The sequence below is a fragment of the Homo sapiens genome, chromosome 7 (assembly GCF_000001405.40).
Source record: "Homo sapiens chromosome 7, GRCh38.p14 Primary Assembly".
Taxonomy (NCBI): Eukaryota; Metazoa; Chordata; class Mammalia; order Primates; family Hominidae; genus Homo; species Homo sapiens.
Genome location: NC_000007.14, coordinates 74,331,466 through 74,349,709, shown reverse-complemented (window position 1 = coordinate 74,349,709; position 18,244 = coordinate 74,331,466). Strand labels below are relative to the sequence as shown.

General features: G+C 51.7%; 1 protein-coding gene across 3 annotated transcripts in view; it reads right to left on the bottom strand.

Annotated features, from left to right (window-relative positions):
* Positions 1–18,244, bottom strand: part of CLIP2 (CAP-Gly domain containing linker protein 2) — a 116,529-nt gene that overhangs the window by 56,226 nt on the left and 42,059 nt on the right. For all 3 annotated transcript variants that reach the window (NM_003388.5, NM_032421.3, XM_047420800.1), the window contains exon 3: positions 10,706–11,262. In NM_003388.5, the coding sequence (NP_003379.4) occupies positions 10,706–11,262 (557 nt within the window). The remainder of the gene's footprint in view (positions 1–10,705; positions 11,263–18,244) is intronic.

Here is an 18,244-nt window from a genome sequence, read left to right as displayed (position 1 = left end):
CAGAGGTTGCAGTGAGCCGAGATTGTGCCATTGCACTCCAGCCTGGGTGACAAGAGTGAGACTTTATCTCAAAAGGAAATGGAATCACACAATATGTGGCCATTTGTGTCTGGCTTCTTTCACTTAGCATCATGTTTTCAAGGTCCAATCATATTGCAGCAGGTATCACTACCCCACTGATTTTTAATTTTTATTTACATATATATATATATATATATATATATATATATATATATATACACACACACACACACATACATACTTTTTTTTTTTTTTTTTTGAGACAGAGTCTCGCTTTGTTGCCAGGCTGGAGTGCAGTGGCACGATCTCAGCTGACCGCAACCTCTGCCTCCTGGGTTCAAGTGATTCTCCTGCCTCAGCCTCCCTAGTAGCTGGGATTACAGGCACGTGCCACCACGCCCAGCTAATTTTTGTATTTTTAGTAGAGACGGGGTTTTTCCATGTTGGCCAAGATGGTCTCGGTCTCTTGACCTTGTGATCTGCCCGCCTTGGCCTCCCAAAGTGCTGGGATTACAGGCGTAAGCTACCATGCCCGACCAGTACTTCATTCGTTTTGTGGCCAAATAGTATCCCATGGCATGGGCAGAATGCATTGTGCTTGTCCATTTATCTGTTGATGGACAATTGGGTTGCTTCCACTTTTTGGCTATTATGAATAATGTTGCTATGAATATTCTTGTACAAGATTTTTTTAAATTTTTTCTTGTATAGGCGAGGTTTCACCATGTTGCCCAGGCTGGTCTCAAACTCCTGAGCTTAAGTGATCTGCCCGCCTTGGCCTCCCAAAGTACTGGGATTACAGGCATGAGCCATCACGCCTGACCTACTTGTACAAGTTTTTGTGTGAACATCTGTTTTGAATTCTCTTGCTACCCTCATTCTTTTTTTTTTTTTTTTTTGAGACAGAGTCTCGCTCTGTTGCCCAGGCTGGAGTGCAGTGGTGCAATCTCGGCTCACTGCAACCTCCGCCTCCTGGGTTCATGCCATTCTCCTGCCTCAGCCTCCCAAGTAGCTGGGACTACAGGCGCCCGCCACCATGCCTGGCTAATTTTTTTGTATTTTTAGTAGAGACGGGGTTTCACCGTGTTAGCCAGGATGGTCTCGATCTCCTGACCTTGTGATTCACCTGCCTCGGCCTCCCAAAGTGCTGGGATTACAGGCGTGAGCCACCGCACCCGGCCCTCTCATTCTTTTTTTAAGAGACAGGGTCTCAGTATGTTGCCCAGGCTGATCCCAAATTCCTAGGCTCAAGGGATCCTCCCATCTCAGCCTCCCAACGCACTGGGGTTACAGGTATGAGCCACGTCACCCAGCCACAATGAGGTGCTTTGATGTGAGCCTTTTTCCATCCACTGTCCTGGGCTCCTAGGGGCCCTTTCAATCAAGAAACACCCTTATCAATCTGGGGAATTTTCTTGAATTAATTATTTGATTTTCTCCCCTCCTTTTTCTCCATTCCTCTTTTCTGTAAATAGGTTCTCTAATGTTCTTCTCTTTTGGCTCCTGTTTTTGTTTTTTTTTGAAATGGAGTCACTCTGTTCCCCAGGCTGGAGTGCAGTGGCATGATCTCGGCTCACTGTAACCTCTGCCTCCCAATTCTACGGCCTCATTCTCCCGAGTAGCTGAGACTACAGGCACCTGCCACCACGCCCAGCTAGTTTTTGTATTTTTAGTAGAGATGGGGTTTCACCATGTTGGCCAGGCTGGTCTGGAACTCCTGACCTCAAGTGATCCGCCCGTCTTGGCCTCCCAAAGTGCTGGGATTACAGGTGTGAGCCCCCGCCCCTGGGCTGTTTCCTTTCTGTTCTAGTTCCTGAAATATTTTCTTATCTTTATCTTCTAACACTTCTGTGCAGTTTCTTATTTCTGTGATATTTTTCATTTCCCAGAGCTGAATATTTATACAACATGAATATTCATGCTCATGAATATTCATAGTCACATATTCAGTGGCGTTTTTGTTCATATTTAATGCCTGTATCACCTTCTCTTATTTCTCAGAGGACCAGCTGTTTTCTCCAGAGAAGTTTCCTGTAATCTCCATTGTAGAGGGAGTAGGCGTGGCCGCCAGGGCTCAGGGAGCCGCGTGGGGGTAAGGGGGACTTAGAGTACAGCGCGTTTGGCCGGACGCGGTGGCTCACGCCTGTAATCCCAGCACTTTGGGAGGCCGAGGCGGGCAGATCACGAGGTCAGGAGATCGAGACCAGCCTGGCCAACACAGTGAAACCCCATCTCTACTAAAAATACAAAAAATTAGCCAGGCGTGGTGGCGGGCACCTGTAGTCCCAGCTACCCGGGAGGCTGAGGCAGGAGAATGGCGTGAACCCGGGAGGCGGAGCTTGCAGTGAGCTGAGGTCGCACCACTGCACTCCAGCCTAGGCGACAGAGTGAGACTCCATCTTAAAAAGAAAAAGAATACACATGTTCACTTCATCTACCTTTTTCAGTCCCTCCTGCCTGGGACCCCTCTATCCAATAATTCTCTGTCATCCTCTCAGGAGACCAAGTGTCCATACCAGACATCAGCTAGAGGAACAGTCACCAGGCAAGGGGAACAGTCACCAGGCAACGAGTAGTCATCAGGCAAGGCAGGAACGGGGACGGGGCAAGGGATCTAAGGTGTTTTTCTTTTTGTTTTGTTTTGTTTTTAGAGGTAGGGTCTCCCTCTGTCACCCAGGCTGGAGTGCAGTGGTGCATTCATGGCTCACTGTAGCCTCGAACTTCTGGGCTCAAACAGTCCTCCCTCCTCAGCCTCCTGAGTAGTTGGGACTGGAGGCATGCGACACCACACTTGAATAATTTTATTTTTTATTTTTTTGTAGAGACAGGGTCTCACTCTGTTGCCCAGGCTGGTCTGGAACTGCTGGGCTCAAGCAATCCTCCCACCTCAGCTTCCCAAAGTGCTTGGATTACAAGTGTGAGCCACTGTGCATGGCCAGTGTTTTGTTTTTTTTTTTTTTTTTTTTTTTTGAGAATCTTACTCTGTCTCCCAGGCTGGAGTGCAGCAGCGTGATCTCAGCTCACTGCAACCTCTGCCTCCCAGGTTCAAGTGACTGTCCTGACTCAGCCACCTGAGGAGCTTGGATTACAGGCGTGCGCCACCACACCCAGCTAACTTTTGTATTTTTAGTAGAGACGGGGTTTTGTCATGTTGGCCAGGCTGGTCTTGAACTCCTGGCCTCAAGTGATTCACCCACCTTGGCCTCTCAAAATGCCAGGATTATAGGCGTGAGCCACTGTGCCCAGATGCAAAGACTTTTAAACCAATTCTGTTCCTGGCCCCAGTGGCAGCCTCATTTCTAGAGGCCAACATGCGGCCAGTTACTGAACATCTAGGGTTTCCGGATGGACACTGATTGCTTCTCCTCTTCCCCTACCACTAGCTCTTTTAAAAAAATTTATCTTCATAGCTGCATGTGGTGGCTCACACCTGTAATCCCAACACTTTGGGAGACTGAGAAAGGAGAATTGCTTGAGCCCAGGAGTTCAAGACCAGCCTGGGCAACATAGCAAGACCCCTCTCTACAAAAAAAAATTAAGAAATTAGCTGGGTGTGGTGGCACACACCTGTAGTCCCAACTACTCAGGAGGATGAGTTGGGAGGATCGCTTGAACCCAGGAGTTTGAGGGTGCAGTGAGCTAGGATCATGCCACTGCACTCCAGCCTGGACAACACAGCAAGAAGCCATCTCAAAAAAAGAAAAAACCCAAACATCTCTTCAGTGTTGTTCTAGTGCAAATTCAGGAGAGATTGAAAATAAATGTGTATGTTTATTTACCATGTTTATCTGAACCTAAATATTTCTTTCTTCCTCTTTCTCTCTCTCTCTCTTGCTTTCTTGAGACAGAGTCTCATTCTTGTTGCCCAGGCTGGAGTGCAATGGCAGGATCTCAACTCATTGCAACCTCCGCCTCCCGGGTTCAAGCGATTCTCCTGCCTCAGCCTCCTGAGTAGCTGGAATTATAGGCACCTGCCACCATGCCCGGCTAATTTTTGTACCTTTAGCAGAGACGGGGTTTCCCCATGTTTCCCCATGTTGGCCAGGTTGGTCTCGAACTCCTGACCTCAGGTGATCCACCCACCCTCAGCCTCCCAAAATGCTGGGATTACAGGCATGAGCCACCATGCCTGGCCTATGACTTTCTAAAATGTTAATTTCATTTTACTTCTGGACTCACTGTAATACCAGCACTTCAAGAGGCTGAGGTGGGTGGATCACTTGAGGCCAGGAGTTCAAGACCATCCTGGCAACATGGAGAAACCCTGTCTCACTAAAAAATACAAAAATTAGCCAGGTGGGTGGCGCATGCCTGTAATCCTAGCTACTTGGAAGGCTGAGGCACGAGAATCGCTTGAACCTGGGAGGTAGAGTTTTCAGTTAGTCGAGATCGCGCCACTATACTCCACTCTGGGCGACAGAGCAAGACTCTGTCTAAAAAAAAATTAAAGAAATAAAATGTTAATTTCTCTTGACACCCCAAGTATGCCTCATTGTGCCTAAGTAAATCCAGCTCCCCAATTAAAACTAGCTCCTGTCCCACCATCTCCTAGGGCCAACTACATGTGCCTGGCACATGAAAGACAAGAATTCCAAATCTGACATTTCCATGAGGCGGGTACTGTTACCACATTCATGGAAGAAGAGACTGAAGTTCAGAGTAGCCAGGGAGTGAAAGAGACAGGTGGACCTCTTCTTACTACACTCTGTGGCCTTCTCAATCCCAGCTGGGCTTGATTCCAGACCAGATCCCACCCTCCTCTGTCTCCTCCTTGGGTAGGGCCCTGGTGTCTCTGCCATGGAGGCCCGTCTGTGAGACTGGGTTGTTCTCTCTGGTCTCTGGCCTTCAGGTGGGACTGCTTTCTCAGCCCCTCCTCTCTGGCACCAGGTCTCTGCCACTCTGTCTACACAATCAGTCTTGGATCCTGCTGCTCTGTAATTCCAACCTCGAATGTCCTTTCTCTTCCCTAGCCTAAATCCTCGATTAGGCTGGGCTCAGTGGCTCATGCCTGTAATCCCAGCACTTTGGGAGGCTGATGCAGGAGGATCGCTTGAGGCCAGGAATTTGAGGCCAGCCTGAGGAATGTAGCGAGACCCCCATCTCTGCAAAAAAAATAAATAAATAATAAAAATTAAAAAAATTAGGCAGGCATGGTGGTGCACATCTGTAGTCCCAGATTCTCGAGAAGTTGAGGCAGGAGGATCGCTTGAGCCTAAGAGTTTGAGGCTGCAGTGAGCTATGACTACACCACCGCACTCCATCCTGAGTGACAGAGCAAGACCTTGTCTCAAAAAAAACCATGCTAGGCACAGTGCCCAGTGTGAGGTATGCCCTCCCAGAAAGCAGTGTTTCAACCATAGGATGCAATCTACTTAAAGATTGAGAAGCTAAGGTCAAGATAGCCCAGCCCCCTTGCTGCTGCCAACCCTGCAGACAGGCCAGGGCTTAGCAGACACTTCTAGGGCAGTGGCAGTGCCCACCTCATGCCCTTCTCTTGCACACCACACCCAGAGATGGTCAGAAGCATCTACTCCCTGCAGGGAGAGCAGGTGCAGAGGGAATGCCAGGCGGGATCAAACTAGGGTTAAACCTACTGCTCCCCAATCCAGGGAGCAATCTGGGCTGGTCAGTAACCCCCAGAGCCTCCACTTCCCACCCCAACAGGGTCACAGGCCCATGCCCAGGGCACTCCCACGACATTAGTCAGACTGTGCACAGCCATAGCTCCTTGCAGACTATGACTCATCCTCACATCCACCAGTTCTCTCTCTCTCTCTTTTTTTTTTAAGACAGCGTCTCACTCTGTCACCCTGGCTGGAGTGCGGTGGTCCCATCGTGGCTCACTGCAGCCTTGACCCCCTGAGCTCAAGTGATCCTCCCACCTCAGTCTCCCCAGTAGCTGGGAGCATAGGCATGCACCGCCATGCCCGGCTATTTTTTTTTTTTTTTTGTATTTTTAGTAGAGACGGGGTCTTGCTATGTTGCCCAGGCTGGTTTCCAAATCCTGACCTTGAGTGATCCGCCTGCCTTGGCCTCCCAAAGTGCTGAGATTACAGGCACGAGCCACCGTGCCCGGCTGCCATCAGCTCTCTTAATGCTCTCCATAAAAGCATAAAGCAAAACAAGAGTGCTGGGCCATGGCCATTTTGCTGAACAGACACATGGAGAATGAATGAATGAATGAATGAATGAATGAAGATGAGGCTCTGTAAGTGACTTGCCCAATATCACAGACCTGGGCCTGATTTCCCTGCTGTACCCACCCCCAGTAGGTGCCCACAGACCCCGGAGATCCTGAAGGACAGGTCAGGGAGACTAAGCTGTTTGCCCAGGTCCTGTTGGATGGGGTTGGCTTTCCTGGGAGCCACAGGAGGAAGAGCAGAGTGACGGTCCCAAAACAAGTTCCTTGGACAGGATGGTGCAGGGGTCCAGGAGTCCAGCCTCCTTCCTGGGCCCTGCCGTTCCTGCTCCACTCTGGGTTTTTTTCTTGTTTTTTTTTTTGAGACGGAGTCTTGCTCTGTTGCCCAGGCTGGAGTGGAGCCGCACCATCTCAGCTCACTGCAACCTCCGCCTCCTGAGTTCAAGCAATTCTCCTGCCTCAACCTCCTGAGTAGCTGGGATTACAGGCGCCCGTCACCATTTTTTTTTTTTTTTGAGACAGAGTCTGGCTGTGTCATCCAGGCTGGAGTGCAGTGGCACCATCTTGGCTCACTGCAAGCTCCGCCTCCCAGGTTCACGCCATTCTCCTGCCTCAGCCTCCCGAGTAGCTGGGACTACAGGCTCCCGCCACTGCACCCGGCTAATTTTTTGTATTTTTAGTAGAGACGGGGTTTCACCATGGTCTCGATCTCCTGACGTCGTGATCCGCCTGCCTCAGCCTCTCAAAGTGCCGGGATTATAGGCGTGAGCCACCGCGCCCGGCCACCATGTATTTTTCAGTAGAGGTGAGGTTTCACCATGTTGCCCAGGCTGGTCTTGAACTCCTGACCTCAAGTGATCCGCCTACCTCGGCCTCCCAAAATGCTGGGATTACAGGTGTGAGCCACCGCACACGGCCCCTGCTCCACTCTTGCCTCCTCCGATCCCATCCCCACCAAGCAGCAGGTGTGATGTCCTTAACCCATGAACCTGTCACACAGCTGCAGCTTCCATGGCTACCTCAGCTCTTAGAGCAAAGCCCTGGCTCCATCCCAGGTCCCTGGCCCTGTGGGGTCACCCAGGTCAGCCTCTGGGATGTGATCTTTCCCTGGCTTCCCCCACTGCCCACTCAGCCTCCCTGCTCTTTTCAGTTTCTTTTTTTTTGTTTTTTTTTTGAGACAGAGTCTCGCTCTGCCACCCAGGCTGGAGTGCAATGGCGTGATCTCGGCTCTCTGCAATCTCCGCCTCCCAGGTTCAAGCGATTCTCCTGCCTCAACCTCCCGAGTAGCTCGGACTACAGGCACGTGCCACCACATCCGGCTAATTTTTGTATTTTTAGTAGAGACAGGGTTTCAACATATTGGTGAGGCTGGTCTCGAACTCCTGACCTCAGGTGATCCACCTGCCTCAGCCTCCCAAAGTGCTGGGATTACAGGTGTGAACCACCATGCCAGGCCTCTTCTCACAGTTTCTCTAGTCTCTCAGGCCATGGGTCTCTGCCTGGCACGATGCTCTGGCCCCACATCACTAGGCCAATGCCAGGCCATTCCCTAAGTTCTGCCCTCGGGGGAACCATTCCTCGGGGCAGCCTCCCCACCAGGCCAGGCTCTGAGAGCACCACAGCACACTTGGCAGACTCTGTAGGGAGACACTGATGTCTGCGATCACTGGCCTCGTGGTCTCTCTCCTGTAAGCTGGAGATGGCTGGAGGGCAGGGACTACATCTGGCCACGCTCACCACCAGGTCACCCAGGGGAAGTTCTGTCCAGAGGAACCAGGCTAGCAAAGGCGTGGTGCCAGGTATGGTGGCATGGGCCTGTAGTCCCAGCTTCTTGGGAGGCTGAGGCAGGAGGATTGCTTGAGTCCAAGTTTGAGGCTGCAGTGAGCTATGACTGCACCACTGCACTTCATCCTGGGCAACAGAACAAGACCCTGTTTCAAAAAAAAAAAAAAGAAAAGAAAAGCAGAGCCCTCACCATGGCCAGGGCAGGGCAGACAGGAAATACAACTCAGTGAACAGTGGGCAGGCACTTGTCACATGTCACTTCAGACAAGTTATTAAACTTTCCTGAGGCTGGGCACGGTGGCTCACGTCTGTAATCCCACCACTTTGGGAGGCCGAGGTGGGTAGGTCAAGAGATCAAGACCATCCTGGCCAACATGGTGAAACCCTATCTCTACTAAAAATACAAAAAATTAGCAGGGCGTGATGGTGCGTGCCTGTAGCCCCAGCTACTCGGGAGGCTGAGGCAGGAGGATTGCTTGAACCTGGGAGGTGGAGGTTGCAGTGAGCCGAGAACGCACCACTGCGCTCCAGCCTGGCAACAGAGTGAGACTAGAAAAACAAAACAAAACAAAAAACAAACAAACAAAAACTTCCCTGAGCCTCAGTTTCCCCATCCATAAAGTGAGGATGATAAAACCACATCGCAGCATCACAGCACAGGCTTGAAGATTCAACGGGGCCATGGGTGTAAACATTACCTCTCGCTCCCCTACCCACAACCCCAAAGGCTCCTCCCAGAAACCTCCAGGAGAAACCTTTGCCAGGTTCTCAGAGCAGGAAGGGAGGATCCCAGGCAGCAATATGCTTTGGGGATCCCTGCTCTGGGTCCCCAGACCCCCTGCCCTTCTCCACTCGGCTTTGGAGCTCCAAGCCTGTGCTCCCCACCTCGGGTTGGAATGACCAACCACCTTCCCCCAGGAAGCCTTGCAGACAGGACACAGGGACCCCTGCCCCACCGACAGCTCCTCACACCCCAGGCCCAGAAGTCCATGTCAGGGCCTTCCCTGTACCCTATGAGTCTCTTCCCAACACTGTGGTCCCAGGTGCAGGGTTAGCCCAAGGCCACCACAGCCTGGCTGGACAGCAAGACACAGCCCTGTCCCATCCACCTGACTACCACCAACCCAGGTCACTGCTGTATTCAGACTCTAGAAGACTTGGGGGTCACTGTCCCCTTTCCAACCTGGCCCCAACAGCTGGGACTAGTGGAGAAGAGGGGCCCCTGGCAGGAAGCTGTCAGCTCCAGTGACCCAATTCTCTCAACTTCAATAACACTGATCACTCGAGTTGTAGCTGATAAGGTGTCTGCACCTCCTGGCCCTGGGCAAGGGGTTATAACCATTACCACTGTTATTATTATTGCTTTTTTGAGACAGAGTCTCACTCTGTCACCCAGGCTGGAGTGCAGTGGCATGATCTCGGCTCACTGAAACCTCTGCCTCCTGGGTTCAAGTGATTCTCCTGCCTCAGCTTCCCAAGTAGCTGGGATTATAGGCACACGCCATCACAGCCAGCTAATTTTTGTATTTTTGGTAGAGATGGTGTTTCGCCATGTTGGCAAGGCTGGTCTCAAACTCCTGACCTCAGATGATTTGCCCGACTTGGCCTCCCAAAGTGCTGGGATTACAGGTGTGAGCCACCGTGCTTGGCCTTATTATTATTATTATTATTGAAACAGGGTCTGGCTCTGTCACCCAAGCTGGAGTGCAGTGGCACTATCTTGGCTCACTGCAACCTCTGCCTCCCAGGATCAAGCCATCCTCCCACCACAGCCTCCTGAGTAGCTGGGAGTACAGGGTCATGCCACCATGCCTGGCTAATTTTGTTTGTATTTTTTTTTGTAGAGATGGGGTCTCACTATGTTGCCCAGGCTGGTCTTGAACTCCTGGGCTCAAGTGATCCTCCCATCTCAGCCTCCCAAAGTGCTGAGATTACAAGCACGAACCACTGTGCCTGGCCAGGACCAGGGGTCTTGAGAACTCCAGTTCCCAGCCTTTTCCAGTACATGCCTGGCACATGCATGTGGATGAGCTGGATCAATAGATAATATCAATAATAGCCAAAATGTATGGGTACTTAGTATTAGGCACTGTCTAAATGAGTGATACGTTTTAATGCATCTCCAACTATGACTGAAGTACGATTAAAATTCCCATTTTGGTAGGGCGCTGGGGCTCACACCTGTAATCCAAGCACTTTGGGAGGCCAAGGCGGGTGGATCACCTGAGGTCGGGAGTTCAAGACCAGTCTGGTCAACATGGTGAAACCCCGTCTCTACTGAAAATACAAAAATTAGCCGGGCGTGGTGGCACATGCCTGTAATCCCAGCTACTAGGGAGGGTGAGACAGGAGAATTGCTTGAACCTGGGAGGTGGAGGTTACAGTGAGCTGAAATCACGCCACTGCACTCCAGCCTGGACGACAAGAACAAAACTCCATCTCAAAAATAAATAAATAAATAAATAAGTAAAATAAGTAAATAAATAAATATCCCATTTTACCGATAGAAAGAGCGAGGCCCAGAAAGTTTAGGACACTTGCCCAAGGTCACACAGCAACAGTCTCCAGAGCCCACATTACCTGTCTCTCTTGTCACTCTGTATGGTCCTGATAAGGAATGGGTGTCCCAGGCTGGACCCTGTCCGAGCCCCCTTCGAGTCCCCACCCTGCCCAGCCCAGGGGGGTCCAGCTTCGCCAAGTGGGGCGGAGCAGGGGAGGGAAGGGAAGCTGGGCCCAGAGCCCAGTACTGCCCGCACTCACCAGCACGCGGTCCCCCAGGCGCAGGTCCTTTTCGCCCCGCTTCACAGAGCCGCTGTCTGAGAGGTTGGATCCCGACTCGTTGCCAGTCTTCACGGAGCTGTTGAGGACGCTCTCCCGCAGGGGGATGACGCGGCTGGTCAGCGGGGGCGTGGCCGTGCCCGAATGCAATGACAGGTTCTGGGCAGTCAGCGACTCCACGGAGTGGGCATCACTCCCCGAGCCCTCGGCCGTGGGCTGCCGGGTCAGCTTGGAGGGCCGCGTGAAGATACCCTGGAGGGCCGGGCACTCGAAGTAGCGCACGCCGCCCACCGCGCCATCATTCTTGCCCACCGGGTCGTCCAGCACCACGCCAGCCCACTGGCCCGGTGCGAACTGCGTCTCTCCCAGATACTGCACCACGCCTGGCTTCACGCCGTTCACCCACACCCGCTCGCCCACCACAAAGTCCCCCAGGAAGTCATCCCCCACTTCCGCCGCCTTGGGGCCCGGCTTCTCGGGGGCAGCAGCTGCGGCCGGGGAGGAGGAGGGTCCAGATGACTGTTTGTGCAGTGGGGAGCCTGCAGAGAAGGAGAGGGAAAGGGAAAGAGGTGGCTGTTAGGGCTGGCCCCTGGGTGGCCCCAGGAGCACAGAGTCTAGGGTTGGGAGGTGGCTGATTTGTATTTTTGGGTAGAGATGGGGTTTCACCATCTCGGCCAGGCTGGTCTCGAACTCCTGACCTCAAGAAATCCGCCCGCCTTGGCTTCCCAAATTGCTGGGATTACAGGCGTGAGGCACCACACCCAACCCCTGTTTATTTACTTTTTGAGACAGGGTCTTGCTCTGTCACCCAGACTAGAGTGCATTGGCGATATGGTGGCTCACTGCAGTCTTGACTTCCTGGGCTCCAGCAATCCTCTACCTCAGCCTCCCGAGTAGCTGAAACCACAGACACCTGCCACTACACTGGGCTAATTTTTGTATTTTTTTGTAGAGACATGGTCTTGCCATGGAAACCGAGGCAGGAATGGTTGGCTGTGTGGTCTTGGGCAGGTCCTCCTCAGGTCTCCCCCTACTCTTCCAGCCCTCCAGAGCGTCCCCAGGAAAGTACGCCCTCAGAAGCAATGTTTCCAGGCCGGGCACGGTGGCTCATGCCTGTAATCCCAGCACTTTGGGAGGCCGAGGCAGGCGGATCACCTAAGATCAGGAGTTCAAGACCAGCCTGACCAATATGGTGAAACCCCATCTCTACTAAAAATAAAATAATTAGCCAGGTGTGGTGGCAGGTGCCTGTAATCCCAGCTAGTGAGGAGGCTAAGGTGGGAGGATCACTTGAACTCGAGAGGTGGAGATTGCAGTGAGTTGAAATCACATCACTGCACTCCAGCCTAGGGGAAAGAGAAAGACTTCATTTTTAAAAAGACAAAAAAAAAAAGAAGCAATGGCTTTCCACTTCTCAAGGAAACTGTAAGTCCTGGGCCAGGGAGGAACCCGTTCTCAAGGATTACAAGCCACCCCCCCACCAGGTGGGCTCAGGCCCTCAGCTGTTGACCCGAGACCCCCTGTGGCCCCTATGTGGGACCTAGGTGTTGTGCAAGTGGTCTCCGAGACCCCCATCCTCGCCCTCAGACGGTTACAGGGCCCACAAAAGGCTACCAGCCTATTTCCTAATAGAGGGACACAGCCACAGACTTCTTGCATAAAGATGTCCCCTTCTGTCTCTCTTGGGACAGGAAAGAAAACCCTCCTAACTCTCTCCTGGGCCTCCCCCTTTCTCCCCTCCCCAAGCTGCAGCCCAGCCTAAGGCCTCAGGGTCCACAGACCCCGGAAAGTGGAAGGGTGGCTAGGTTTGGTGGCTCATGCCTATAATCCCAGCACTTTGGGAGGCTGAGGTGGGCGGATCACCTGAAGTCAGGAGTTCAAGACCAGCCTGGCCCACATGGTGAAACCCCGTCTCTACTAAAAATACAAAAAAATTAGCCGGATGTGGTAGTGGGTGCCTGTAATCCCAGCTACCCAGGAGGCTGAGACAGGAGAATTGCTTGAACCCAGGAGGCAGAGGTTACAGTGAGCCGAGACAGCACCACTGCACTCCAGCCTGGGTGACAGAGTGAGACTCTGTCTCAAAAAAAAAAAAACAAAACAAAAAAAAACAAAAAAAAAAAAAACAAAAAAAACAAACAACCATAGTAATCACAGGCTTGCATGAGACTCTGTGCTAAGAGCTTAACATACGATAGCTCATCTGATCCCCAATTGCCCCCATTTCACAGATGAGAAAACTGAGGCTCAGAGATATCAGGTGCTTCACCTGAGCTCCCAGACAATAGGCAGCAGGACTGATTTGGTTTGGCTGTGTCCCCACCCAAATCTCATCTTGAATTGTAGCTCCCATAATTTCCACGTTTTGGGAGGTACCCAGTGGGAGCTTAATGAATCACAGGGGTGGTTTCCCCCATACTGTTGTGGTGGTAGTGAATAAGTCTCACGAGATCTGAAGATTTTATAAGAGGTTTCCCCTTCTGCTTGGCTCTCATTCTCTCTTGTCTGCCGCCATGTAAGACGTGCCTTTTGCCTTCTACCATGATTGTGAGGCCTCCCCAGCCACATGGAACTGTGAGTCCATTAAACTTCTTTTCCTTTATAAATTACCCAGTCTCATGCTGAGCATGGTGGCTCACGCCTATAATCCCAGCACTTTGCGGGGCCAAGGTGGGCGGATCACTTGAGGTCAGGAGTTCGAGACCAGCCTGGCCAACATGGGGAAACCCCATCTCTACTGAAAATACAAAAATTAGCCAGGCGTGGTGGCATATGCCTGTAGTCCCAGCTACTTGGGAGGCTGAGGCAGGAGAATTGCTTGAACCCAGGAGGCGGAGGTTGCAGTGAGCCAAGATGGCACCATTGCACTCCAGCCTAGGTGACAGAGCAAGACTCTATCTGAAAGAAAAGAAAAGAATAGAAAAGAAAAAAGAGAAAAGAAGAGAGGCCAGGCGCAGTGGCTTACGCCTGTAATCCCAGCACTTTGGGAGGCCGAGGCGGGCGGATCACGAGGTCAGGAGATTGAGACCAACCTGGCTAACATGGTGAAACCCTGTCTCTACTAAAAATATAAAAAATTAGTCAGGCGTGGTGGTGGGCGCCTGTAGTCGCAGCTACTCAGGAGGCTGAGGCAGGAGAATGGCATGAACCCGGAAGTCGGAGGTTGCAGTGAGCCGAGATCGCGTCACTGCACTCTAGCCTGGGCGACAGAGTGAGACTCCATCAAAAAAAAAAAGAAAAGAAAGAAAGAAAAGAAAGAAAGGAAGGAAGGAAGAAAAAAAGAAAGAAAAAAAGAGAAAGGAAGGAAGCAAGGAAGGAAGGAAGGAAGGAAGGAAGGAAGGAAAATAAGCCAGGCACAGTGGCTCACACCTGTAATCCCAGCACTTTGGGAAGTTGAGGCAAGTGGATCACTTGAGCCCAGGAGTTCAAGAACAGCCTGCACAACATAGCAAGACCCCCATCTCTTATAAATAAATAAATAAATGAATAAATAAGCCAGGTGCAGTTATGCAGCCTGTAATCCCAGCTACTCGGGAAGCTGAAACAGGAGGATGACTTGAGCCCAGGAGGTCAAGACCAGTGTGGGCAACATAGCAAGACCCTGTCTCTACAAAAAATAAATATAACAAAATAAAATAATTAAGATAGCAGCTGCATTTATGAAGTGCCAACTGCATGCTCCTCAATGGACAGGGCACTTTTTTTTTTTTTTTTTTGAGATGGAGTCTCGCTCTGTTACCCAGGCTGGAGTACACTTGTGCAATCTCGGCTCACTCCAACCTCCACCTCCTGAGTTCAAGTGATTCTCCTGCCTCAGCCTCCCGAGTAGCTGGGATTACAGGCATGCACCACCACGCTGGGCTATTCATTATAAGAATACATCATATTTTTACCTTGCAGATTTGGAAACAGAGGGTAAGGTCACTCAGGCCGAGTAGGACACCCAGCTAGTCTGGCTTCAGAACCCTCCCTCTTTTGTTTTTTTGAGACAGAGTCTCACTCTGTTGCCCAGGCTGGAGTCCCCAGGCTGGAGTGCAATGGTGCAATCTCTGCTCACTGCAATCTTCGCCTCCCAGGTTTAAGCAATTCTCATGCCTCGGCCTCCAGTGTAGCCAGGATTATAGGTGCGTGCCAGCACACCAGGCTATTTTTTTTTTTTTTTTGTATTTTATTAGAGACGGGGTTTTGCCATGTGGTAAGGCTGGTCTCAAACTTCTGGCCTCAAGTGACCCTCCTGCCTTGGCCTCCCAAAGTGCTGGGATTATAGGTGCAAGCTACCACGCCCAGCCAGAACCCTCCCTCTTGACCACACGCACAGTGGGTGCCTGGCAGGTGCCAGCTCCTACCCCATATCCATTTCTAGGGCACTTTCCTATGCAGAGAGAGCTCTGTGACCTCTGCTAACTGAACAGAACCACTGTAGCCCAGCTAAGGTCTGTTTCTACCTGCCCTCTGTGCTTAGAGCCCAGAGAAGGGTCCCCAGGTCGAAGGTGACCCAGCATGGCTATTCTTGGTGAGAAGCTGCCTGCTCAGCTGTCCTTGTCCCCAGCTGTCCGGGCCCAGGCGGACCCTCAGGTAATCTCTCCCCGACTCCCTCCCCTCCCAGGGGTCACAGGCCCAGGGACCAGTTGTTTCAACAGCTGCAAAAATCCAAGCCACGAGCCCATGGCAACTGCACGTGATACTTCGCTTCATTCTTCCTCTGAGTAGTGGGACTCTCGGCTGCCCCCGCATCACAGGGACAAAACGCTCATCAAATTCCATGCACGCTGAGACATTTTCAGCTTCCTGCAGTTGAGAAACCATGGGAAATTCCCTATCCCTCCAGGGAGTCATCAGTGACATACTGGCTTGGCCAGGGCGAGCCAAGTCTGGCCTTCCCAGATGTGTGCCTCAGTTTCTCCATGACATAACAAAGGACTAGGTCAGAAATAGCTAAGGTCCTTTCCAGCGCTGACATTCTCCATGTCCTACGTCTCCTCCCAGGGGAGCCAATGTATATACGATGGAGTTTTTGAAACCTGGTTAACAGGAGCTTCCTCGGTCCATATCCTCGCAGGCCAAAGGCAAGCTGTTTGGGAGCTCCCTGTGGGCACAGCCTGGGCCTCACTGCCCTCTGAGTTCCCCAGCAAACCCCCGCGAAGGCAAAGAGCCACTAGTGACTTCCAGCTGGGCCCAGCAACACAGACTTAAACCTCACATGAGGCTGGGCACCATGGCTCATGCCTGTAATCCCAGCACTTTGGGAGGCTGAGACAGGAGGATTGCTTGAGGCCAGGAGTTTGAGACCAGCCTGGGTAACACAGTGAGACCCTGTCTCTACAAAAAAATACAAAAATTAGCCAGCCATGGTGGCTCGCTCCTGTAGTCCCAGCTACTCGGGAGGCTGAGGCAGGAGGATTGCTTGAGCCCAGGGAGTGGAGGCTGCAGTGAGCCATGATCTCATCACTGCACTCCAGCCTGGGCGACAGAGCGAGACCTCATCTCCAAAAGAATTAAAATAGGCTGGGCAAGGTGGCTCATGCCTGTAATCCCAGCACTTTGGGAGGCCGAGGTGGGTGGATCACCTGAGGTCAGGAGTTTGAGACCAGCCTGGCCAACATGGTGAAACCCCATCTCTACTAAAAATACCATAATTAGCTGGGCGTGGTGGCAGGTGCCTGTGATCCAAGCTACTTGGGAGGCTGAGGCAGGAGAATCGCTTAAGCCCAGGAGACGGAGGTTTCAGTGAGCTGAAATCGCATCACTGCATTCCAGCCTGGGCGACAGAGCAAGACTCTGTCTCAAAAAAAAATTAAAATAAACCTCCTACATGCAGTTGATTTATTCCCCAGACAGTGATTCCCACCCAGACAAGAGCCACAAAGGAATTTACTGCAAGTTTCAAGTTCAAAGCATGACAAGGGCCTAAGGACACGGTGCAGGGTGGCTGCAGCTGGTGGCGTGGTCCTGCAGCCGGTGGGGATAAAAAGGGCGCCCAGATGACGCATTCTCCCCTCCGCCTGCGAGGACGCGGGTCCTGCCCTGCCTGTGGAGGTGGGGACTGGCTTTTCCTGCTCAATCTCATCAGGAGGGACCCCAATTCCTGAGGACCTACTAGGTGCCAGACTCTGTGTCAGACACTGGACAAGAGGCATGGCCAAACGGGGCCCGGCAAGGGGGTGGAGTGGGGATGCCAGCAACTACAATTCAGCTTGCCACGCCATGTGCGTAACTGAGGAAGGAACCCAAAATGTGGTACCCGGGGGAGCGGGAGGGAGGGCTCCACCTCGAATGATGTGGGTGTGGGTATTTCCCACGACCTCTTGCCCCAGGAAAGTTACAGAGCTGGCTCCCTCACCTCCTCAGAGAAGCCTTTCCTGACTGCTTTATCTAAAACTCATCACCCTGGTTGGGCATGGTGGTTTGTGCCTGTAATCCCAGCTCTTTGGGAGGCCAGGGCAGGAGGATCACTTGAGGTCAGGAGTTGAAGACCAGCCTGGACAACATAGCAAGACCCCATCTCTAAAAAAAAAAAAAAAAAAAAGAGAATTCTAGGCTGCAGTGAGGCATGATCCCACCACTGCAATCCAGCCTGGGCAATAGGGAGACACTGCCTCTGAGAAAAAAATTACACGGGGCACAGTGGCTCATGCCTGGAATCCCAGCACTTTGGGAGGCTGAGGTGAGCAGATCACCTGATGTCAGGAGTTCAAGAACAGCCTGGTCAACATGGTGAAACCTCGTCTCTACTAAAAATACAAAAATTGGCCTGGCATGGTGGCGGGCACCTGTAATCCCAGCTACTCGAGAGGCTGAGGCAGGAGAATCACTTGAACCTGGGGGGCGGAGGTTGCAGTGAGCCGAGATCGCATCACTTCACTCCAGCCTGGGCAAAAGAGCAAAACTCCATCTCCAAAAAACAAAAAACCCCAACAACAACAAACCTTCTTCTCTGATCAGTAGCAGGGGACCCCGATCTACATGGTGCCCCCCACCCACCACAATAATCTACCAACTGCTACAGCTTTAGCTACTGCCTACATGTGACCACATTTTTTTCTTTAAGACACAAATACACTCTCCTTGTAAATGATTCAAATGACACAGGAAGATGTAGAATGAAACTGATCCCGGCTGGGCGTGGTGGATCACACCTGTAATCCCAGCACTTTGAGACTGAGGCGGGTGGATTACCTGAGTTCAGGAGTTCAAGACCAGTCTGGCCAACATGGTGAAACCCCGTCTCTACTTAAAAAACACAAAATTAGCTGGGTGTGGTGGCAGGCATCTAAAGTCCCAGCTACTCAGGAGGCTGAGGCAGGAGAATCACTTGGACCCAGGAGGCAGAGGCTGCAGTGAGCCGAGATCACGCCACTGCACTCACTCCAGTCTGGGCGAGACAGAGTGAGACTCTGTCTCAAAAAAAAAAAAAAAAAAAAAAAGAAAGAAAGAAAGAAAAAGAAAACGAAAAGAAAAGAAAGAAAGAAACAAATTGATCCCCTCTTGCTCACCTCAGTCAGGATCAAGACCTGCCTCCTC